Source organism: Homo sapiens, chromosome 16 (genome assembly GCF_000001405.40).
Source record: "Homo sapiens chromosome 16, GRCh38.p14 Primary Assembly".
NCBI classification, from domain to species: domain Eukaryota; kingdom Metazoa; phylum Chordata; class Mammalia; order Primates; family Hominidae; genus Homo; species Homo sapiens.
This window is the reverse complement of record NC_000016.10, coordinates 79,697,182-79,721,682: the sequence shown is the minus strand read 5'-3', so window position 1 is coordinate 79,721,682 and position 24,501 is coordinate 79,697,182. Positions and strand designations below refer to the sequence as shown.

At 41.7% G+C, this 24,501-nt stretch overlaps 2 long non-coding RNA genes across 2 annotated transcripts in view, besides 2 other annotated features; one reads left to right on the top strand and one right to left on the bottom strand.

The window, feature by feature from the left end:
- The window catches only part of MAFTRR (MAF transcriptional regulator RNA), a 49,221-nt gene extending 48,850 nt beyond the window's left edge, over positions 1 to 371 (top strand). The window contains exon 6 of the long non-coding RNA NR_104663.1: positions 62 to 371. This is a non-coding gene — a long non-coding RNA (MAF transcriptional regulator RNA). The remainder of the gene's footprint in view (positions 1 to 61) is intronic.
- The window catches only part of LOC105371356 (uncharacterized), a 49,125-nt gene that overhangs the window by 3,403 nt on the left and 21,221 nt on the right, over positions 1 to 24,501 (bottom strand). The window contains exons 3-4 of the long non-coding RNA XR_001752268.2: positions 7,549 to 7,847; positions 6,796 to 6,868 (exon numbers count right to left, since the gene is read on the bottom strand). This is a non-coding gene — a long non-coding RNA (uncharacterized LOC105371356). The remainder of the gene's footprint in view (positions 1 to 6,795; positions 6,869 to 7,548; positions 7,848 to 24,501) is intronic.
- Positions 7,920 to 8,049: an enhancer, noted in NCBI's record as "active region_11160". NCBI's record gives its function as "activates an Ori minimal core promoter by ATAC-STARR-seq in GM12878 lymphoblastoid cells {active_cell/tissue: GM12878}" and the evidence as "EXISTENCE:reporter gene assay evidence [ECO:0000049][PMID:35858748]".
- Positions 13,050 to 13,549: an enhancer, noted in NCBI's record as "H3K4me1 hESC enhancer chr16:79742031-79742530 (GRCh37/hg19 assembly coordinates)". NCBI's record gives its function as "activates a minimal SCP1, AML or CMV promoter by ChIP-STARR-seq in primed H9 embryonic stem cells {active_cell/tissue: H9 hESC(primed)}" and the evidence as "EXISTENCE:reporter gene assay evidence [ECO:0000049][PMID:30033119]".

The window sequence follows — 24,501 nt, the reverse complement described above, 5'->3', positions numbered from 1 at the left end:
GTATGCACTGCTCTAGAGAACCTTCTACTGGGGAATAAAATCAAGTCTTTCTCTCTTCCAGATGGAGCTGAGCCTGACACTCTAACCGGTTCTCTGGGTGTACTGCAAAGGTCTAATAAAAGGCACCTTTGCCCGGTTGCTTCAATTCTAGGAAGCTGTTCAATGTTTGACTATATTTCTCCATACTCATTTGAAAACAGTTCATCAGGTTAGTTCAGTTGAATTATTGCTCCTTGGGAGTTTTCCAAACCCTGGATTTCCTTCGGAGAGAGCTAGATTCTATTCCATTCTTGGAATTCAGCTCCTTGCCCTTCTCTGTGACCCCGGATCGCGAATGCAGTAAAAATAAAAATATCCTGCTGCCTCCTGCACTAAGAAAGGACTCCCTGGCCTCCTGCTTAGAGATGGAATCTCATCTCTTGGGATTTTCAGAGCAAGAATGTTAGACAAGCTGTCCTTTTTCCTTCTTCATTTCTACATTTTGGTCACCGACATTTTGGTAGCAGACACTAGCAATAATGGGTACTCCTAAAAGTATATATATGGTAAGAAGAAGAAAGGGAAAAAATATTCTATCCAATCACATTTGGTTCCTCCATACCCTGTATGAAGTGTTACTTAGTAGATTTTGTTAACCACGGTGAAAGAACTTTCAGCACAATTCCATCCATGGTCACTTAGCACAGACTACATATGGGGGAGTTAAGGGAGGCAGTGAAGAATTCTGAACCCACATAAACAAATTCCCTAGAATTAACTTTAGCAAATGCAGCACCTGGCTGGGGCAATTCTCAGATCTCCTAGGGAACACCAGGACAGGTAGACTGTCAGCCAGAGATGCAGTGTTTCATGTTCTGAGTTTTCTTTCTTGTAAAAGTCTAGATTCCACTACCAAGTAAGAAAGAAAGGATGCAGGAAAGAAAATTTATTAGCAGGTAGTCCACAAAGTGTCTTTCGAATCGTTTCAAATTTCACTTCCACCTCTATGGTCTTGAGTCCTTTGTCAGGGTGGACTGACCCCTCGAATTCCCCACCTACCTCTGGATAGGATCTAAAGTCTTATTTGAGCCAATTGCTACATCAAGGGTTTTATTGCCATTTAATTCTCCAAGCAACCCTGATTGCTTTGCCTTTTCTTATTTTTTTACCCAGTACTGCATTTTTAAAAAACTTCACACTCTGCTAATCAGTGATTCCAGATAATTGCTTCTAACTGCCGCATGGTATTCCATAAAGGGCACCTCTTTAATTTACTTTCCCATTTCTGCAGCTAAGGACCCCCTGGTTGCCTCTGTGGCCCAGCAATCACAGGTCTTGGCTGCATGAAATCCTCTTAGATTCCCTCTTCTGGACCCAAGGACCCAAGTGGGGATTCTTTGGGATATTCTGAAAGGGAACTACTGATTCTAATGTACATGGATGCTCAATTTTTGTGAGCTTATTCTTTAGATTGGCTTCACTTCTACAATCCTAAGAGCTGGACGTGAAAAGTCATGTGTTCTGACATCTTAGACTTGGCATTATCCAACTTGCCCATTTTTACCAATCTGATGAGTATAAACTTATAGCTCATTGGATTTGGTTTGCTTTACCCTGATTTTGAGCTTTGTATTATTATGTGAACCATTTGGATTTTTACCTCTGTGATTTACCTGTCATATTCTTTGCCTCTGTTTATTTTTGCTTGTTTGTTTCTTTTTTTATTTTTATTTTTGAGACACAGTCTCGCTCTGTTGCCCAGCCTGGAGTGCAGTGGCGCGATCTTGGCTCACTGCAACCTCTGCCTCCCGGGTTCAAGCAGTTCTCCTGCCTCAGCCTCTTGAGCAGCTGGGACTACAGGCACACACCATCGCACCCAGCTAATTTTTGTATTTTTAGTAGAGACGGGCTTTCACCATGTTGGCCAGGCTGATCTCAAACTCCTGACCTCAGGTGGTCCGCCCACCTCGGCCTCCCAAAATGCTGGGAGTACAGGCGTGAGCCACCATGCCCAGCCCTTTTTCTTTTTATTTCTTTTTTTTTTTTTTTTTTGATAGGGTTTTGCTCTGTTGCCCGGGCTGCAGTGTGTGGTGTTATGCTAGTTCAATGTAGCCTTGAACTTCTGGGCTCAAGCGATCCTCAAACCTCAGCCTCCTCAAGTAGCTTGGACTACAGGTGCACACCACTACACCCGGCTAACCTTTTTATTTTTATTTTTGTAGAGACTGGATCTCACCATGTAGCTCAGGCTGATATTGACCTCCTGGCCTTAAGTAATCCTCCCACCTTGGCCTCCCGAAGTACTAGGATTGCAGGTATGAACTGCCATACCCAGCCCTTTGCCCCTATTTCTGATGGATTTTTTGATCCTTTTCTTGTTAACTTACAGGTTACCCTCATATATCCTATACTGGCTGTTAGTCAGTTGTAAATGTTGCAGATATTGTGTTGCAATTTTTCAATTTTTAACTTCATCTTTACAATCTTTCATTAAAAAGAAATCCTCAACTTTTGTGTCATCAAACACTTTTTTTTTTTTTTTTTTTTGCTTTATATTTGGTAATTTTAGGTCTTTAGAAAGTTTCTCCCCACCTCTAAGTTGTAAAAATACTCTTCTAAATTTTCTTTTGTTAACCATATAAGCTTTCCTCTCATACTGGATATCCTATGCATCTGGAGTCCACGTTTGTGTACTATAGAAATATAGATGTTATTGGGCCGGGCGTGGTGGCTCACACCGATAATCCCAGCACTTTAGGAGGCCGAGGCGGGCAGATCACGAGGTCAGGAGATCGAGACCATCCTGGCTAACACGATGAAACCCCATCTCTACTAAAATACAAAAAATTAGCCAGGCATGGTGGCTGGCGCCTGTAGTCCCAGCTGCTCGGGAGGCTGAGGCAGGAGAATGGTGTGAACCCAGGAGGCGGAGCTTGCAGTGAACCGAGATTGTGGCACTGCACTCCAGCCTGGGCAACAGAGCGAGACTCCGTCTCAAAAAAAAAAAGAAATATAGATGTTTTTGTTCTCCATATGGTGAGCCAATTTCTCAATACCATCTACTAAATAATCTAACCATTCCCCATGATTTTTAAGCCATGTTAAACATATTTCAAGTCCTCATTTATAAAAAGGCCTGTCTCCTAGGCCTCTGTTCTGTTCACTGGTCTCTGTTCTCAAGCCAGAAGCAGACCAATTTTACGATGATGGTTTTGTAGAAGGTTAACATTTTGTAGGATAAGCCCCTCCTCCATATTCCTCTTCTTCACAGTTGGCCTAGCTCTCTGGGGGGACTTTACTCTTCTGTATCCATTTTAGCATTAATTTTTCTGTGTTCCACAACAAAAAATTTTAAAAAATACATCCAGCTGGAGTTTTTTTTTTTTTTGCAATTTCATTGCATCGCGTTTTCTTTTCATCCTTTAAATAAAACAAGACGTTTTTCTTCAGATGTTTTTCAGGTGTAAGCTGAGTCTTGGATATGTGCTCTCATTTCACATTGTAAGTCAAGGTGAAGGGTGTAACTCCAGTGAGGGACACTGGCACTTTTCTCCTGACCAGCACTGTCCCAGGGCACCCAGGAAGCCTTAGCTTTGGTACTGGGTTGGGATAGTTCTGTTAATGCCTGATCCCTTCTTGAGTAATGACTCTGCTCAGGAAACTGTGCCTCAGGGCTCAGATTTCCCTCCATTTAAGCTTGTGGCTTCTTGGCCTGGAGCTTGTTTCCTTCCCAAAATGTTTGTTAGTGCAGTGGCTTTTTATGGCACTTTATGGAAAAATTAAGGGGTGGGGTTGATGACCGTATTCTGCAAATCAGCCCGTCTTTAACCTTCGTTTACTGGAATTTGAGTCCTCTGCATACCTTGTTAGCAGAAAAAACTTCAAATATATTTTTTTCCATCCAAGCTCACAATTGGAATGTTCTTTACCTCTTAACTCAGGCCAGGACAAATGTGGCCCAGGTTCTGAAAAACAGCCTCTTATTTAAAAGGCTTGTACAGCAGCCTTCGCATAACATTTACGACTGCAGTTATCTACACATGGATCTAGAGGGGGCCTGGCCTGTGAAAATCAGAGGACAGAGGCCACTTCATCCTGCAAATTGCTCAGGCGGGCAGTGTTGGTGAACTCAGCCCTCACTCCCCGGAGCCCCTTTCTAGCTTTAAAATCATTCCTGGGGAACTATTGGATTAGAAAGGAGCCATTCAGAAGGTGGCAGTTTCTCTGCTTCTGGAAAAGGGGGTTAGGAGACTTAAGATACAACCCAGTCTCAGATAAAGGGTGGGAAGTCAGAGATATTGGCCGTGGTACTAGCAGAGGAACAAAGGCCAAAACAAGGTCTTCCAGACATGTCATGTTTTTCTTAGAACTAGGGCCTATATTACACACAAATTTGAGATTATCTCCGACATTTATCTAAAATTAACTGTGGTTTTCAAAAGAAAAACATTTAGGGGAGGATCAGATAAGAAGGAGGCCTATTTATAATACTTGCCACGGGGAGGGAAAGGGAAGAGAAAAAGCAAGAGCAAGAGCAAGAGCGAGAGCAAGAGAGAGAGAGAACGAGACAGAGATCCTTAAAATGATACTGAACATTCTTGCGACACCATAAGCCATAACTCTGACTCTCTTTCCCTGCCTTTTATGAATAACAGAAAAGAGAACTTTTATCCTGATCCGCTGTAGTTTCTTAGAGAAAATCCTGCTCCCAAGTAGAATGCTGGATTTCCATCTCATTCTAGTTATAGTCAGAATTGGGTTACAATCATTCTGAACCACTGAGTGTGGCACAAGTCAAAATGTTTGTTCCTAGAGATTGAGATATTAGTCAGTGATGTCTGGCTCTGAAATGGTTATTTATAGATTGGAACGACCTGGAGCAGCCAGCAGAGTGACAAATGAGGAAGAGGACAGAATCTAGCTGAAGAAGCTCTGGAAGATACCATTTGAAGTCTTGAGTGCTTGAACTCACAAAGAAAGCACATGAGTACACACTAGCACTTGAGCTCTTCATTTTAAACAGAATAAAGAATGTACTGCTATTATTGTCATTTTACAGATAGGGAAATTCAGACTCACCAGGGCTACTCAGATACAAAGAAAATGAGCCAGAATTTCAAGCAAGCCTGAGCTTAGAATCTACACTATTTTTTTTTTTTTTTTTGAGACATGGTCTTACTTTGTCACCCAGGCTGGAGTTCAGTGGTATTAGGTTGGCACAAAAGTAATTGTGGTCTCTGCCACTTAAAACTAGAGCCCGAAACTGCAATTACTTTTGCACCAACCTAATGCACTTACCAGAGCTCACTTACGCCTTGACCTCCTGGGCTCAAGTGATTCTCCCACCTCAGCCTCCCAAGTGGCTGGGAATGTGGGCATGCACCACCCTGCCCGGCTAGCTTTTCTTTCTTTTTTTTTTGTGGAGACAGGATTTTGCCATGTTGTCCCGGCTGGTCTTTAACTCCTGAGCTCAAACTATCCTTCTGCCCTGGCCTCCCAAAGTTCTGGGATTACAGGCATGAGCCACTGTGCCCGGCCCAGAACCTATGCTCCTAACTGCCACACCAATTGACCTCTATTCAGCCATTTTTATTTCTATAGCACTTGGTATAATTTCACTTTGCACACAGTATCTATAGATAATCATTCCAGGGCATGTAATCGTCATAAGATTATTTATGTTATTGCATGTGTATTACTGCATGTAATCTTCATGTGTTATTGCCTCTAACAAGTTATGTATTTCCATGTAGTCTTCATAACTGTGTATAGAAGACCATTTTAGAGATGGAAAACTGAGACTCAGAAGTGGTAATTGTCCTACTGGTCAGAGATTTAGCCAGGGTTTGGATTGTGGAATGCAGAGGACCACTTACTTTTCACTAGACCATAAATGCTCCTCACCACTGAGGCATGTCAAATGCCAGATATCTCCAGGAACCTTAGGCTACGTCTCCATTGTTTTTGCTTTTTCCCCCCTTAGACACAGCTTGGCAAAGAACAAATGATCCCAAACACCAAACAGCACACTTGGAAACATTTAACCCGCATACTTTCAGACTTTCTGGCATGGACCAACCTCTTGTCTTACCTTTGTTCCTGGCCAGAAAGAAATGGCATGAAAAGATGGACAGTTTTTATAACCTCTTTGAGCTCTAAACCATGTTTCCTGTGCACTTAGGAGATCTTAATAGAAACCAAGTACTTCTTTTAGGCATCTATACTCTTAATGCCGTAAGTCAAGTCAAGTACCCAGGTGGTTAAGATAACTGTACCAACAGAAACATTTTTAAAAAATATCCTAACACAACATGAAGTGACCATCGCGAATTCAAAGAAGCAGGCATATTTCTTAAAGGTTGAAAAGAGGTGAGTCTTTCACAAGATTCTAGCTCAAGGCCATATTTGCACAAGTATAGTCATTCCTCTAGCAAGGTTTTGTTTATCTGGCCATTAAAAAAAATTAAAACAACTTTTACTTTCGGCTGTTTGAACAAGAACTGTTTTTCCAGCTGTGCAGTCTAAGGAGGATACAAGAGGCCTGGTTTGGTTATATTTTTTCCAGAATAAGAAAGTTTCCTACACAATTCTGCTTGGGCTAAACTGCATACAGAGCAGTTTATTTATACTGTTTTATCGCACACCTGTTTGGATATGGGCTATTTTCTGGTATTTAAACATACCGTTTCTTGCCAATTGCTTTATCTTCAGAGTCCTATGGTTTGGCTGCAAATGTTTGTTATTAACTCAGAAAGAAACACCAATTGCTCTATGAACATTATTAGTGAGGACTAAGATAACTTAATTGTTACTTACTTCAAACATGTTATCACTGAAGAACTTTATCCCAGAAATCCATTCAAAATAAGGTAGAGGCCATTTCACTATACTTAAAGGGAAAAAAGGAGTTAACAAAGCCTTTTTGGAATACAATCTTTAATGAAACACTGTTTTTCTAAAAAAAGCCACCTGCTTATTTTGAGCTAGTATGTTGCAATGGAAGGAAAACATTGCCATTCTAGTCAGTAATGAGCTATTTTACCCACTAAGGAAGTTCTGGGATACACAGATGGCAGCCTGAGAATTTGGGCAAAAGCCCTGACTCCACTCACATGACTTTCTCTGAATCACTTAAACTCTAGGTACTTCTCTTATTATATCAGTAAAATGTGGGTCATAATAGCTATCCAGTAATTAGATCGTTTAAATCAACCCATCAATATTAAATAGCTATGATGTGATAAAGTTTGGTCTTGGCCTTGGGGTATAGAGATGAATGAGACAAAGTCTTTATATCTAGAAATTCACATTTCATAATGCTGCACATAGTAGGCCTCTCTTCTGTGTTAGGGGAATCTGAATATTTATGTGTAGATTCATTAGTAGCTAACTATAAAGTTAAAACGGAACCTATAGAGTTGCAATCTAACTGTTTATGTGAAGGGGTTAGTTTTATCTTGCAGCTAAAAAAGCAGACTAAAATACTAACTTAACAAACTCTATTAGTAGTCTATAACTGTGTAACAAACCATCCCCAAAGTATAGTGGTTTAAAAAAATAGGCACTTACTGCTCACAGTTTCTGTAAGTCAGAGCCCTCGGGTGGTTCAGTTGGGTGCTTCTGCCTTAAGGTCTTTCCATAGGCTGCAATTTGTTTGCTGGCCAGGGCTGCGGTCTCATCTGAAGGGTTAACTAAACGGAGATCTTCCAAGCACAGTCAAATAGCTGTTGGCATTGTTCAGTCCTTTGTGGAGGCTGCTGTACTGAGCACCTTAGTTCCTGGCTGGCTGTTGACTGGAAGGCACTCCCTCAGTTTCTTGACATGTGTGCCTCTCCATAGGGCAGTACATAAAGAGGTAGCTAGTTTCCCTGAGTAAGAGGGAGTGAGCAAAAAAGAAACCACATTCTCTGTGTAACCTAATTTTAGAAGTGACATTTCATCACTTTTTCGATCATCTGTTTAGCAGAAGAGAGCCAGTAGATCCAGCCCACACTCATGGGGAGTGGATTACACAAAGACAGGACTATCACAAGGCAGTGATATCTGGGGCCATCTTAGCGGCTGCCTACCATACAAATGGAAGCTACAATAGGTAAAGACCCATCAGCAGCCTCAACCCTATCTCAGTATAATGGGGTTGGTTCCATAGAGTCTCCACTTTCTGACACAGCGGGGCAGCCCCCTCCACATCTCCATGAGAAGCTTCTGTTTCACTTGCAGGGCAAATCTTCTGGGATATAACCACAGTGACCTCCCCTGAAACCATTTCATGGGGGTTTCTTCAAAGAAGAGCCATCTCTACACCTAGCAGCTCCCATCGTATCCTGAGATGATGGCATTGGGATAACACAGGCCCAGGCCTGTGGTCCTTGGGGTCTTCTTCTTTTCCTCTCCCTTCAGCATGGATCTCTTTTATCTTTTGAAGCCTCAGTTGTAAAATAGAAAGGCTGGACAACTTTTACCTCATGGAGTTGTGAGGATTAAATAACACAAGCAGTTAACAGAAGTGCATATTGAGTATTTCAGGTTGCAGGTCCACTATACTCTAAAACTCGCCCCTGCTTTCTGGATTTTAGAATGTTACCAAAAACACAAATAATCACTGCTCGATAACATGATTATGAGACAAATAATCATAAGGCAGAAATATGAGCAGGGATTATATGGGCCAATCAGAATGGATTTTGGCTGTAACCTCAGATCAGGGGTCTGAAAGTCCACTATGGTGCCAGAGAATAAACTTTTAGTTGCTTGATTTTGGAGTAATGGGGAATGGGCAAAAGGGAATGTTCCAAAGAGGGTCCGTGTGGTCAGGGCTTGGCACTGGGGGCTCAGAGCAGTAATAAATCATCAACAATTACAAAAGTATTGTCTTCAATGTTTTAACTGGTAAGCATACAGTGAGGGACACAGTTTTACTGATTGCCATCAGCTCTGAGAATGGGCATCGTAGAAATACAGGGGGAAATGACCTGACTTGTTTGGAGGATTTGAGAAAGCCTTCTCTGACAGAGACTTTAGCATAAAACAGGAAGATAAGTAGAGGTTATAAAGGTGAAAAGAAGGGGGAAAAGCATTTTATAACATGGGAACTTCCTGTGCAAAGACCCTGAGACTAGAGAAGGCATGACATATTCCGAGATCCGTGGACAATATGGGTACACTAGAGTAGGGAGGACAAGAGACAGACTGCGGCGACTCTAAGTCACAGGAAGGATTTGGACTTTGATTTTACAGGCTCCAAAGAAAACAAGCCACTGAAGGGATGTAAGCAAAGGCATGATAGTATCAGCTTTTCATTCCAAGGGATCATTCCAGCCAAAGATCCCAGCACATAATCATTGTAAGAATTATTATAATTTTTCCCTCTTTCCCATTGCCATTGCAAACACAAAGACACAGTTAGTTAAAGAACACATGGGCTCTGCTGCCTGCCCTCTTGGGGAACACAAAGTCCCTGCACCTTTGGATTCAACCCACCAAAGTCTGGGTCCAAGTCTCCAGAATTAGTCAGGTAGCACAAATAATAGAAATCCTATCCCCAATCCCTGCTGCCCTCGTTTGAGTAATATTTTAAAGGTTCTAGCACAAATCCTAATGTTATTTAGAGAATTAAAAACTTGATTGGGCCGGGCATGGTGGCTCATGCCTGTAATCCCAGCACTTTGGGAGGCCAAGGCAGGCGAATCACGAGGTCAGGAGATCGAGACCATCCTGGCCAACATGGTGAAACCCCATCTCTACTAAAAATACAAAAATTAGCTGGGCATGTTGGCACACAGCTGTTGTTCCAGCTACTTGGGAGGCTGAGGCAGGAGAATCACTTGAACCCGGGGAGAGGCAGAGGTTGCAGTGAGCCAGGATCGCACCACTGCACTCAGGCCTGGCAACAGAGTGAGACTCTGTCAAAAAAAGAAAAAAAAAAAAACTTGATTGTGTGTAATAAATCTTGACATAGCATCAGTGAGGACAGGAGACAGATCTAGCATTCTTGTAGACCAATATGCCATTCACGACACTTACGATATTTTCTTTAATCTCTACCACATCTTCTTGAGGGTAGAGTTATCATACACACTTCTCAAATAATTAAGAAAACAAGGTTCAGAAAGATTGTAAAATCCAGGACACTAAACTAGTGAATGGATGTTTATTTCAAAGCTCATTTTCCCACTTGGAGTAGAGTTTTTCTCAGATGACATTGGTGTATAGCCCAGTTTCTCAGCCTCGGTACCATTCACATTGAGGGCTGGATACTTCTTTTTTTGTGGGGAGCTATTCTGCACACTGTAGGATGTTTAGCAGCGTCCCTGGCCTCTACTCACTAATGCCAGCAGCATTACCCCCATATGTGACAACTAAAAAGATCTCCAGATATTGGCAATTTTCCCATGGAAAGAAAAATCAAGCCCTGGTTGAGAACCACTGGTATAGAATTTACTCCTCCAGGAAGGTGTTTAACTAGAGATGGCTAAAAATGGTGCATTTCACTGTGTTTTTTCATTGGCTAAATCAGGTCACATGGCCAGAACCAACATAAATGGAGCAGGGAAATACACTCTTCCCACAGAGAGGAACTGTAGGTCATACAATAACAGGCAACGATATATAATCTTCTTACAATACAAATAGTTGGAAAAGATAGTAAAATTACTGATTTCAGGTGTGATTCATGCTATAAGAGAGAGTATAGTGTGCTATGCAAATGATATCAGAGAGAAATAGACTAATCTGGATGGTCAGAGACATCTCTGAAGAAGGGAGTTTTAAACTTAGACCCAGAGGATAAGCCATTGTTAACCAGGCAAAGGTCAACTGTGCATAAAGGTAGTGTTTCTGGCAGAGGGACAAGCATGTGTATAGGAAGATGTAAGTACCTATGATGATTTCTCCAAAAAACTTAGTGGTCTCAACCAAAAGTCCTGATTTCCATTAAAATATGAAAACAACTATTATTAGTGGTGTTATTTGTTTAATATTAACTGTGTGCCAGGGAGTGTGATATAAATAATATGGAGTCTTGGCCACAAGATGCTCACAGTCTAGTTAGTTGGGCAGTAAACACACCACTAAATTGTCAGCTAGTAAGATATATCAGAGGAATGCACCAGGAAGTGGGTGTGTTGGAAATTTGGAGACTGGCTAGAGACTTGTAGTCTGGGGAAGTAGAGGAAATAGAGCTTTAGTTTAACTGGAAGGCTGGTGTATTAATTTGTTCTCACACTGCTAATAAAGACATACCAGAGACTGGGTAATTTATAAAGGAAAGAGGTTTAATTGACTCACAGTTCAGCATGGCTGGGGAGGCCTCAGGAAACTTACAATCGTGGTAGAAAAGGAAGCAAGTAAATTCTCCTTCAAGTGGTGACAGGAAGAAGTGCAGAGTGAAAGGGGAAAAAGCCCCTTATAAAACCATCAGATGTCATGAGAACTCACTCACTATCACGAGAACTGCATAAGACTAACAGCCTACATGATGAAATTACCTCCCACTGGGTCCCTCTCATGACACCTGGGGATTATGAGAACTACAATTCAAGATGAGATTTGGGTGGGGACACAGCCAAACCATATGAGTTAGGTAAAGATTCAAAGAATCAAGGGAAAGATGACAACATTTCTGATGTGAAAGGTAGCAAAAGCAAAGATGGGGGAAATGGGCTGGAAGGAGACCTGTGAAGCAAAGAAAAGAGTCTAAGAAGGAGGAGAAAAAAATTCAATGAGAAGACCACTGGCAGGTTTAAGCTGTAAATGCCAGTCTAAATTTCAGGGTTGAAGCTGATGGGTGACAGCCAATGGAGAAAAAGGAAGGAGACTTACAAAGTAAAAACAGTGTGTTCTAGGACCTGCCCCTCAAAGTGACATCCACGAACCACCAGCCTCAGCATGTGAGATTGCCAGATCTCAGGTGACCCTGCAGAGCAATGAACAGGGAATCTCATTTTCACAGGACTTCCAGATAATTCTAGTGCTTGTCATAGTTTCAGAAACACAGCACTTGAAGATCAATTTGAATAAATTAAAATAAGAAAAGATGAGGGAAGCAAATGAAGTGTCTTCTGCAGGCTTTTAGCATGAACTTCTAAGGATCTTGTTTGTGATTAACCAGAGACATGAGAAGAGACAAGTGGTAAGGATGAAGAATCAAAAAGGCCTGATACCTGCACAGTTAGAGTAGATAATGCACAAACAACACACAGGGTGGGCAACTGGGGGAAGGAGGAAGAAGAATGCTGGAACCATGATAGACGCAGGGAAGTCAAGGACAGGGTGGCATGGAGGGCAGCTGATATTTGGAGAGAGAGTAAACAATGGCCTTTTGAACACATTGATGAGAAATTTCCAGGACAGCCTGACCACGGAGGTCTTCAAATGATGTCATGGAAGATCCAGTGGAGGGAAGGGCAGCATGCATTCCCCATGAAGGGAGGACCACTCTTTGGGTCTCCACTCTATTTTCAGTTCCTACAGCAGTATTGGGCATAGAACTGGCACTTAAAAAAAAGAAAAAAGTCAATCAACCAGGAAGGGAAGGGTAGAGTGACGCACAAACCGCCTGCCTGCAGGTAGCCTTGGGAGCTTGTTATAAAGGCACCTCCAGGACCCACCCAAGCCCTACTACTTCCCCCTCTCTCAGGGTAGACCTTGAAATATGAACTTTTACCAAGCTAAGAGATTCTGAGACTTTCTCAAATCTGAGGCTTTCAATTATAAAGACAAAGAAATCAAAGCAAAGGAAGACTCAAGATAACAAATTTGGATGATGCCCACCAATAGGAGAACGAAGCGTTTAATGAATAAAGAGAAGTAAAGTGAAAGCAAAGGTGGCTAAAAATGATCACAATCCATTTGGATCTCCTCAGCATTCAGTATCTTACTTTTTCTGTAATGCATTCATAGTTGTATTGATCCACTTCTTGGGGGTAATAAGCTCCATAAGTTTGCTACCTGGTAGAGAAAGCCTTATTTAATTTTCTTTTGAGCACCAAATGAAATCTACCTTTATGAAATAAGTTTGACATGCAATGATTAAGCTCCTAGTGTGTACAAGTTGCACTGAGGTCAAGGGATATAAAAATTAGTAAGATTCAGTTCTTGCCATGGACACACCCATTGCCTATGTGAGAGACTCACAATAACAGCAGCAACAACAACATCAATAGTCCAAGTGCTGAGAAATGGTCAAAAGGTGGATTGTGTGAGGGCAACCAAAGCATCACGGAGTAGTGGAGTAAGCCTCTTCAGCAACCCAGGAAGGCTTCTTGGAAGTGGCAGCACACGAAGAATAAGCAGGAATTTGCTAAACAGAGAAGATAGGTACAGAGAGAAGAGTTTGGGAGAGAAAGCTGAGATCTGATCCCTGTGGTCCCTATGGGCATTTGCCCATGGTTACTGGGCATGATGAACCCGGACAGGCAGATGAGGATGGAGAAGAGGACTTAGGATTGTGGGTGGAGCCCAGCAGACTCCGCCTGTTGAGAGCCATCAAGGTGGCACACAGGTGGGGCTGGGAAGAGGGCTGCCCCTTCCTCCCACACCGCCAGGGCCTCCAGCCCAGTGTCTTGGAAGGCAAAGCCTGGAGAGAGGGAGTGAGAAAAGCAAATTCTGGCACCCCCGCCCTGTGACTCACTCTTGGCCTTTTGAGCTCTAGCCTTTGCCGAGAAGCCTGGAGGTGCTCAGGGAAGCTGCTGGGAAGTGAGGCCTAGGCTGGCCAAAGCCCTCCTTTTCCGTCCGACACACAGGGACAGGCAGTAGACAAATGCTCCTGAGGCTCTAAGATGCCATCAATTGCAGGAGAAAGTCAAGGGACATGCATGCCAGCTGAGGCTGACTGAGGGCTGAGGGGTCAACTGTTATAAGATGGGGAAACTGAGTCTTAGTGAAGGAACAGAGTTGCCAAGTCCATACAGTTAGATCTGAGCCAAGCTTGCAATCATTTCCAGGCCTCCCAATATGTATCCAGTGTCTCAAAGAGCATCTCCTTTTGTGAAATGAGAATAAATGAGGCTAACATATGAATTCAGGCTTCAAGCTATTTTGGTTGACTGAATGGTTTATCCCAGAGGCTGGTAAACTATGTCTCATAGGCCAAATCTAGACATGACCATCTATGTATTGCCTGTAGCTGCTTTCACGTTGCAATGCCCAGTTGAGACTTTGCAACAGAGACTATACTGTCCACAAAGCCTAAAGTATTTACCGTCTGGCCCTTTGGAGAAAAAAAATGTGTCAACCCCTTTTCTAACTCAATGCTTCTCAGATTTAAGCATGCCTGAGAATCTGGTAGGGAACTGATATGAAATAGTTGGTGCATTTACAGTAGGACCTAGGAATCTGAAGGTAATAAGAGTCTTAGGGATTTTGATGTAGATAACTCAAGACCACTCTTTGAGAAACTTTGGCCTATCGTTGGCTCAGGAGAGGCAGGGCTGACTCTAGGAGCGTCCTGGGCTTTGGGGACCAGGTCTGCAGTTCAGGCTACACCAGGTAGGACATAAAGGCTTCTTTACGGACGTCCAGAGCTCCTCCAGCTTCCACAGAGAAAAGCCCCAGCAGGCCTCTGCAGGGTTACTCACTTGGAAGGCACAGAGTACTGGCCACAGAGGAATGAACCTCTCTTATCAGCTATGTGGCTCTGGTGGAGGCATTTTCTCCCTGGGCCTTAGCATTCTCATCTGTAAAATAGACCACTCAAATCCTATTTATTCAGATGTCTTTCTGTCCTATGGTTGCTAATCTTTTTTTTCCTTTCTTTCTTTCTTTCTTTCTTTCTTTCTTTCTTTCTTTCTTTCTTTCTTTCTTTCTTTCTCTTTCTTTCTTTTCTTTCATTCTTTCTTCTTTCTTTCTTTCATTCATTCTTTCTTTTTCTTTCCCGCTTTTTTTTTTTTTCAGAGTCTCTGTCACCTAGGCTGGAGTGCAGTGGCGCGATCTCAGCTCACTGCAACCTCGTCTCCTGGGTTCAAGTGGTTCTCCTACCTCAGCCTTCTGAGTAGCTGGAAGTACAGGTGTGTGCCACCATGCCTGGCTAATTTTTGTATTTTTAGTAGAGATGGGGGTGTCACCATGTTGGCCAGGTTAGTCTCGAGCTCCTGATCTCAAGTGACCCACTCACCTCAGCCTCCCAAAGTGCTGGGATTACAGACGTGACCACCATGCCCAGCCCAGCTGCTGATCTATTATAGTGAATGACACACTAATACCAATGTCGCTGACATCCCCATAACGTTGGCAGAGTACCAGGAAGTGACGATGTGACTCGGCATCTGCTTTCTAACTCCTGGTCTCAGGGGCCAACAGACCTCATGAAAAGAGACTAAACGGAAAGTTGGGGAAAAGGGAAAGTTGTTGAGAGAAAAATGAATAACCTTCACTGCCAACAAGCATTTATTCACATAACTAACCATTAGACAGTCATCTTTTGTTGAGAACATGTGATAAACCTTGTGAGCATAAAGAATTACTACTGGCTCTGCATTGAGGGGCTTATCGTACTGAAGAGCCATAATCATTTTGGCATTTACAATACCCATGGCTTTAATTTGGCTCAGTGGTTACAGAAAAGAGAGGAATACTAATGTGTTAATTTGAAACACTTAAATGTGTTCAATGTTATTTGTATTAGCTAAAAAAATTTGTGATAACTTATACACCGAACGATAGAGGACTGGTGTTTAACTAAATGAAAAACTTTCAAACCATAGAACCATCAAAAATTACATCTACTGTGAGGTCTCCAACATTGGTGTTTTACTGACACTGGGAACTGGATCATTCTTTGTGGTGGGGAATGCCCTGTGTATCATAGGTTGTTCAGCAGCAGCCCTGGTCTTGAACCACTAGATGTCAAAAGCAAAACCCCTACCCACTACCTCTAATTAGTTGTCACTAACTGTAACAATTAAAAATGTCTTTACACATTGTCAACTGTCCCCTGGGGGATAAAATTGCCCCTTGTAGAGACTTATTGGTCCACGGAAAATTTTGAATCATCCTAGAAATTACATACACTAGCATAGGCAAGAAAAAAAAAATGAAAACTAGGCATAGAGTATGATCTTCTCTATAGAAAATAATAGTAGAAGGATGAGGAAAAGAGAAAAGAAAGGGGAAAAAGGATAGAAGAAAATGAAAAACTTAGTGACACAGAAAGGACTGAAAGGAAATAGCCCAAAAGCTTAAAAATAGCTGCTTCCAAGTGGTGAGATGATAATCACTTAGATGTTTCTATAAATGTTCTGAATATGATTTCAATAAACAGGAAGAACATGTAGAGGAAACAAGTTAAAATACTGAGAACTTGCACAAAGATAGATATTATTTCTGATTTACTTAGGTGTTACTTATATTAGCTACAAAAATTTGTAATCACTTACACACATTCAACAATAGAGGGCTGGTGTTTAACTAAATAAAAAACTTTTGGCTGAGGCGGGTGGATCACTAGGTCAGGAGTTCACGACCAGCCTGGCCAATATGGTGAAACCCCGTCTCTACTAAAAATACAAAAAGTAGCCAGGCATGGTGGTGCCTGTAGTCTCCGCTACTTGGGAGGCTGAGGCGGGATAATCGCTTGAACCCAGAAGGCAGAGTTTGCAATGAGCTGAGATCCACCACTGCACTCCAGCCTGGGCAACAGAGCAAGATTCTGTCTCAAAAACAAACAAAGAAACATTTCAAACCATAGAATTATATGTAACCATCAAAAATTACATCTCTAGTGAGGTCTCTCAACATTACCGTTGTACTGACTTTGGGAACCAGATAATGCTTTGTAGTGGGGGCGGCCATGTGTACTGAAGTTAAAAGACTGAGAACATGCACAAAGATAGATATTATTTCTGATGTATTTAGTTATTTATATTAGCTACAAAAATTTGTAATAACTTACACATCCAAAAATAAATGTAGACTGAACCACTAAAATCCTATTTATGCAAGTATCTTTGGACTTCACGTTTCTGAAAGTTGCGTCTTCGTTCGGATCTATCTGGGGCTTGGTGTTGATGGGCCCATGTCTACGCTGTGGAATCTCACCGGCTGGGAGGACATCTTATGGTTCTACTCACAGGGAGGTTTTAAACTGAGACCCATAGGCTAAGCCATTGTTAACCAGGCGAAGGACAACTGTGCATAAAGGGAGTATCTCTGGCAGAGAGACAAGCATGTGTGTGGGAAGATGTAAGTACCTTTGATAATTTCTCCAAAAAACTTAGTGGTCTCAACGAAAAGCTCCTATTTCCATCAATAAAATATGAAAACAACTATTATTAGTGATGTTATTTGTTTAATATTAATTGTGTGCCAGGTAGTGTGATATAAATAATATGCAGTCTTGGCCAGAAGATACTCAGAGTCTAGTTAGTCGGGCAGAAAATACACCCTTAAATTGGCAGCTAGTAAGACGTATCAGAGGAGTGCACCAGGAATTGGGTATGTTGGGAATTTGGAGACTGGCTAGAGACTTGTAGCCTGGGGAAGCAGAGGAGATAGAGCTTTAGTTTAATTTGAAAGTTGGTGTATTAGTTGTACTGACAGGGGAGTTCTCCCTATCCTCAACTTACAGTGAGTTTGAATAAAGTCACATTGATCTTAATGTAAACTTTTGCTCTTTCATCTCTATTGACATATCATAGAGACCCTAAACCTTTCTAGAATTTGCCCCAGTAATTTCTGAGAGGCTCCAGGAGATGTCCTATGGGATCATCAAGTTGTCCTTGGGACTCTGCCTAAATGCTATTGATGATCTTCGTCCAGAAAGACATTGGAAGATGGCACCTAACCCACAGTATTGTTGCCTCTTCATGCTCATATCTGCACCAATGCTGCCTCCTCCAGCTGTTCCTGAGGCAGGTAGGCCCTGAGATGCCATACTACTTCATGTCGCAAAGCTCTCATGCTTCACTGCCTGGACCAGCTGGTAGAAAAAAAAAAAAAAAAAAAAAAAAAAAAAAACCTCTGATTCTGACTCTACCGTCTTCATCCATAATTCTTGAACTCTATATCAGAAACTGACAAGCTTTTTTTCTACTCTAAAGGGCTAGATATTTCTGTCTGTGTGCACTACATGGTTTCTGTTTCAATTATTTAACTCTGCCATTGTAGCATGAAAGTTAGCACAGGCAATACATACAAAAATGCACATGAGTATGTTCCAATAAAACTTGATTTGTAAGCTGGGCACGGTGGTGGATGGCTGTATTCCTTGCTACTCAGGAGATTGAAGAGGGAGGATTGCTTGAGCCCAGAAGTTCAAGAACAGCTTGGGCAACATAGTGAGACCCCGTCTCAAAAGAATGAGAAACAAAACAACTTTATTCCCAGACTTTGAAACTTGAATTTCATAGAATCATTTCCTGTCATGAAATTGTATTATTTTTAAAAATGTCTAATCATTTAAAAATGCAAAAGCAATGATTCACTCATAGGCCAAAGTTTGTAAGTGTTAGGTGTCAGGCTAGATTTGGCCTGAGAGTCATAGCATACTAGCCCCTACTCTAATGCAAGGGGAGATGCCAGAAGACAGACCAAAAGGGGAATTTGGATAGGACTTGGTGGGAAGACTGGAGCAGAAAGATAGCATGGTTCATTGGTTCATGTGTCCATTCATGTAATGACAATTATTGAGAACCTACTATATAGGTGTCAGGTACTCAATGAAGTGCTAGGGTCAGAGTAGTGAGAAAGATAGCAAAGGACCCAGTGCTCACCAAGCTTACTATCTATCAGGAAAAACAGACTTTGAATCAACATTTAAAACTGTGCTGGCCGGGTGCAGTGGCTCACATCTGCAATCCCAGGACCTTGGGAGGCCGAGGTGTGTGGATCATGAGGTCAGAAGATTGAGACCATCCTGGGTAACACAGTGAAACCCCACCTTTACTAAAAATACAAAAAATCAGCCGGGCATGGTGGCGGGCTCCTGCTGTCCCAGCTACTCAGGAGGCTGAGGCAGGAGAATGGTGTGAACCTGGGAGGCGGAGCTTGCAGTGAGCTAAGATCACACCAGTGCACTCCAGCCTGGGCGACAGGGTGAGACTCTGTCTCAAAAACAAACAAACAAACAAACAAACAAAAAACAAAAAACTGTGCTAAGTGCTGTGAACAATTCCAGGAGTCCAAGAAAACATACGTGAGGGAGAATACCGGAGAGGTATTAGTTGTCTATCACAGCATAATAAATTACCATGAACTTAATGTCTTAAAATAACACATGTTTATTATCTACCAGTGTCTGTAGGTTGAGAGTCCAAGTACAGCTTAACTGGGTCCTCTGCTCAGGGTTTCACAAGGCAGCAAACGAGGTGTCCACTGAGCTGCATTCTCATCTGAAGGCTTAAATGGGGGGAATTTTTACTTCCAAGCCCTTTTGAGTTGTTGGCAGAATTGATTTCCTTGTGGTGGTAAAATTGGAGGTATTGGCCTTTCTTGGCCATTGACTGGAGGGAACCCATAGGCCCCTAGGGCAGCCCACAGTTCCTTGCCCCAGGGACTTCTCCATCATGACTATGGCCACTTACATTATCAAGCCCACAAGGAAAGTCTCTCTTTGGGAAGACCCAGTGTCTCTCTCAAAGGCTTTTACCTGATTTAGTCAGGCCCAGAGGGGCAGGATAGTCTTTTAACTAACTAAAAATTGATTTATTTTGGAGCTTAATTATATCTGCAAAACCTTTCACCTCTGCCATATTCTATTGGCCAGAGGCAAGGCACAGGTCTCACCCAACTCAAGAAGAGGGGATTACACAGGCTCTGAATACGAGGGCTGGAATCACAGGACCACCCTAAGGTCTGCTCACCACAGGAAGGGAAGATTTTTCATTGAAAGCATTATTTATTTTTGGACTGATAGATGAATATGATCTAGCTAGGTGAAACCTAGAGGGAACAGAGTTCTGGGAAGAGCAAACGGTGTGCGCAAAGACCCAGTTTTGAGGAGAAATGGCAATTCTGCAGAGCTGTAAAAAAACCAGTTTAGTAGAATGGCTCTCATTTCTGGCTGTATACATCACCTGAAGAACCTCAAAAATAGTCATTTTTAAAAAACTATTTTAAACCAATAAAATTGTAAAGTTCTTGGCTTAGGGTTTGGCAACCATCTTTTAAAATTTTCCCTAAAATCTCCCAAATTGTCTCTGGGTTGGACAGGGGTTAGGGGCTGCCCAGATGTTAGGAACAGAGAGATAAGCAACATTTCTGTTGACTCAGACCAAAAATTGCTCAGTGAGATTTCTCAAAGAATGTAAAACAGAACTACCATTCAACCCAGCAATCTCGTTACTGAGTAGATAGCCAAAAGAAAATGAATTATTCTACCAAAAATACACATGCACGTGTATGTTCATTACAACACTATTCAAAATAGCAAAGATGGAATCAACTTAGGTGCCCATCAGTTGTGGACTGGAAAAAGAAAATATGGTATGTAACATATGGAATACTATGTAGCCATAAGAAAGAATGAAATCATGTCCTTTACAGTAATATGGTTGCAGTCAGAGGCCATTTCCTAAGCAAATTAATGCAGGAACAGAAAAATAAATATCACATGTTGACGCTTATAGGTGGGGGCTAAACACTGTGTACTCATGGACATAAAGATAAGAACGATGGACACTGGGGACCACTAGAGGAGGGAGGAAGAGAGGGGGCAAGGTTGAAAAACTCACTATTGAATACTCTGCTGACTATCTGGGTGACAAGATCAATCATTTCTTAAACCTTGGCATCACACAATATAACCAGAAAACAAACCTGCCCATGGACCCTCTGAATCTCAAAGGAAGTTGAAATTGTTTTTTTTTTTAAAGAAAAAAAAAAATTTCTCAGAAGATGCAAAGAACAGCTCCTTGCTGTTTTCAAAATCCAGACATCATTTAAATACTCATTTAAGGAAATCAAATTCATGTTATTTAGAAAGCAATATTTTCTTTGGACCAACAAAGCTAGACTTTAATTGGAGACGTGCAGCACAAGTTTTGGCAGAGTTGCCCAAGGTGCTCTCCATTATGGCCGTCTCTGTTTTAAAAATATACAATCAAGCCGGGCACAGCGGCTCACACCAGTAATCCCAGCACTTTGGGAGGCCAAGGCATCAGGATTGCCTGACTGAGGAGTTCGAGACCAGCCTGGGCAATGTGGTGAAACTCTGTCTCTACTAAAATACAAAAAATTAGCCGGGTGTGGTGGCATGCACCCGTAGTCCCAGCTATTTGGGAGGCTGAGGCAGGAGAACTGATTGAACCCAGGAGGCAGAGGTTGCAGTGAGCTGAGATCATGCCACTGCACTCCAGCCTGGACAACAGAGTGAGACTCCATCATATATATTATACGGATATATATACACATATATATGTATCTCCAATCAAAATGTACTTAGGTTTTACTTAAGTCTGCATTTGATTCAAGAAGCTGTGTTTGAGACAAAAGATTCAAAAGCAACTTGCAAATGAAACTTTGATTTCAAAGCAATTAGTATGTATCACTCACTGACTGTGTGTGAAGTACTTTCCTGAGCATCTTTGTGTAGAATACAGTATTTAACACACACAATAGCACAACAACAGCACAAAGAAGATATTATCATTCCTACTTCACAGGCAAAGAAGAGGAGGCTCAAAAAGTAATTTGTGCCAGGCAAGGTAGCAGATGGGAGAGTTGAGGAGTTTTGGAAATAGGCAGTGTTGATGTTCTTCAAATCCTGGGCCCCTTTCTCATGGCCTTTGTGAGCTTAGAGAAGCTATTCAGTCCGTTTAGTTAAAAATCTTCATTTGTTAAATAGACAACAATAATACCAACCTTCTAGCATTGCTGGGAGGATGAACAAGGCAATCTTTACAGTCCTGGGAAGAAAAGGTGAGTTCTGTTTCTTAGTATTCTTCTGACCTACACCTACACCAAGTCATAATAAACAGATTCAGGATGCCTACCCCACGTTCTCAATTCCAAGTCCAGTGGACTTTGCATTGAGTAAAAGCAGAAGTACATACTCTTTAGCAGTTTTCTAGGAGAAAGTTTCTCGCCCAGGTAAAAAGGAAGATGATTATTCAAGTACCCTCTGGAAGTGGAAATATCTTTAATTTTTTTCATCCCTAAACATTTTACTTAGAAATCGAGCAATCTCACAGATTTAAGCTTAAGAATCAACTATGAATTCTTTTATGAATTCATAGTCTTTTATGACTTCTTCTGTGAGACTCAGATTTTTCACAATGAGTTAAGATAATGATGGCTACTGGATTTTTGTTTATTAGTGGTGCAATCATGGCTCACTACAGCCTCAACCTCCCTAGTAGGTGGGACTACAGGTGGTCGCAATCACACCTGGCCATTTTTTTTTGTTTCTTTTCTTTTTTGGTAGGGACAAAGTCTCACTATGTTGCCCAGGTTGTCTCAAACTGCTGGGCTCAAGTGATCATGATCCACACCCTTGGCTTCCCAAAGTACTAGGATTACAGGCATCAGCCATTGCGCCCAGTGATGCCTACTTGTAAATATTTTTGCAGCTCTCTAAACCCAATGCTCATGCAACTCTGACTTAGCTTGCTGTCTGGATCTTTGCAGTTGCTCAGTAAAGAGTCTCTGTTAATATAAGAACCAAATAATAAAGGGTGCATCAAGGAAAGTGGTGAAGGAGATTTTCCCCAAATTATTTACTGAACCGTTCCACTCATTAGTCCTTAAAAAGATGACTATTTTGATTCTCCTTATCTAGCACCCACTGCATGATGTGAAAAGATGTTAAACATAGTGAGACCCTGCATTATATAAATAACACACACTCTAAGGTTTCAGCCCACAGTTTATTTTAGGTCTCAATCTTCAGGTACTTGGCATCCAAGGTCAGGTATACTGAAAACCATTGTCCTTTCACCATGAGGCTGGAACATGTCATAGAGGAAGGCCTGTCACAATCATTATTAAATTGTCTGTTCACTCAAGCCTGGAGTACATTCTGAGGTTATGTTGCATATCACCAGCCCATGGCCAAGGATAGCCAAGCTCAACCCTCCCTGGCCCCCCTACCAGACCCAGAAGATTCACAGTTTTGCAATTTGAATGGCCCAAGACCTTTGGGCCATTGCATAGACTGAGTTTCCAACCCTGAATTCTTGCTTTTGACTCCAGTGCTATATTGGGAAAGTTATCTTCTAGAAAAGCAAACAAAAAGAAGGCCGCTTGACTCCTAAGGGTCATTTCCGAATGCATGTGTAATGCTCCAAGAGCAATGGAAAACAGCTGTGGAACTCCAGCTGCTGCTTTGAGTAGTAAGAGGGAAACCGCCAGGCTTGCGTGGACTCCCTTTGGTAGCCACGTATCTCAAGTGGCTTTTGTTTTTGAATGATAAGATAGTGCATGTGCTTCTTAATTTTTAAAATTCCATGTCATCCGCTGCACCAGCAGAAGCCCTGGCAATCTGAACTCTAAAGGACAGCTCAGTGCACCAGAAGTTGAGCCAGTGTTGGAAACATTGCCAAAGGATCTTTGTGGGTTTCTCATAAATATTGGAGTGCACAGATGATGCTGAAATAAAAGGAAAACAGATAATCCAAACTACCCATGATAGAACAACAACAAAAAATCTTTTAAGATTCCAGAAAGAAACCCTTACAATTATATTTCATTTTTTAAAAGAAATATGAAAGAAAATGACTTCCTCATTTCTTAGAAGAGAAATGATTGCAAGCAAGATATAGAAGAAACTGAAAACATGTTTTGCTTAGTGAGTATGCCAACTGTTGGTGAGAAAGGAAGGAAAGAAAGGAAAGAAAAGGAGAGGAGAAGGAAGAGAGAGTGAGCAAGAAAGAGAAAAGAAGAAGAAAGAAAGAAATAAGAAAAATAAAAGAAAGAAAAGGAGAAAAGAGAGGAAGGAAGGAGAAGAAAGAAAGAAAGGAAGAAAGAGAAAGAAAGGAGGGAAGGAAGGAAAGAAGGAAGGAAGAGAGGGAAGGAGGGAGGGAGGAGAAAGAAAAGAAAGAAAGAAAGATAAAAGGAAAAGAAAGCAAAGAAGAAAAAGGAAAGAAAGAGGAAGAAAGAAAAAGTGGAAAGAAAGTGGGAGGAAGGAAAGAAGGAAGGAAGGAAAGAAGGAAGGAAGGAAGGAAAAGGAGGGAGGCAGGGAGGAAAGAAGAAAAGGAGAGAGAGAAAATTAGAAAGGGAGGAGGAAAGGGAGAGAGGGAAGAAGTGGGGTTGCCTTCTCCACTAGATAGAAGAGGCCCATTAATTAGAGACTATGATACTTTTAGGGGTCCACGTCAATGTTTTAACTTTATTTTTCTTTAAAGTCAGAAGAAAAAAGTGAATATAATAATAAATATGTACTATTGAAGCCTACCTGTATCATATTTATTCATATACCAATGCTTTCATGAAATGCAGTTTTTAAATTTATTTATTGGAGAAAGTGACCCGTAAAGTGCCCAGGGCCTACAAAAGTCATCACAGTCTTAGGAAGGAGGAAAGGGGAGGGGAGAAGAGAGGAGGGAACTGGGGGCAACAAAAGAAGAAAAGCTAGAAGGGAAATACGGTAAG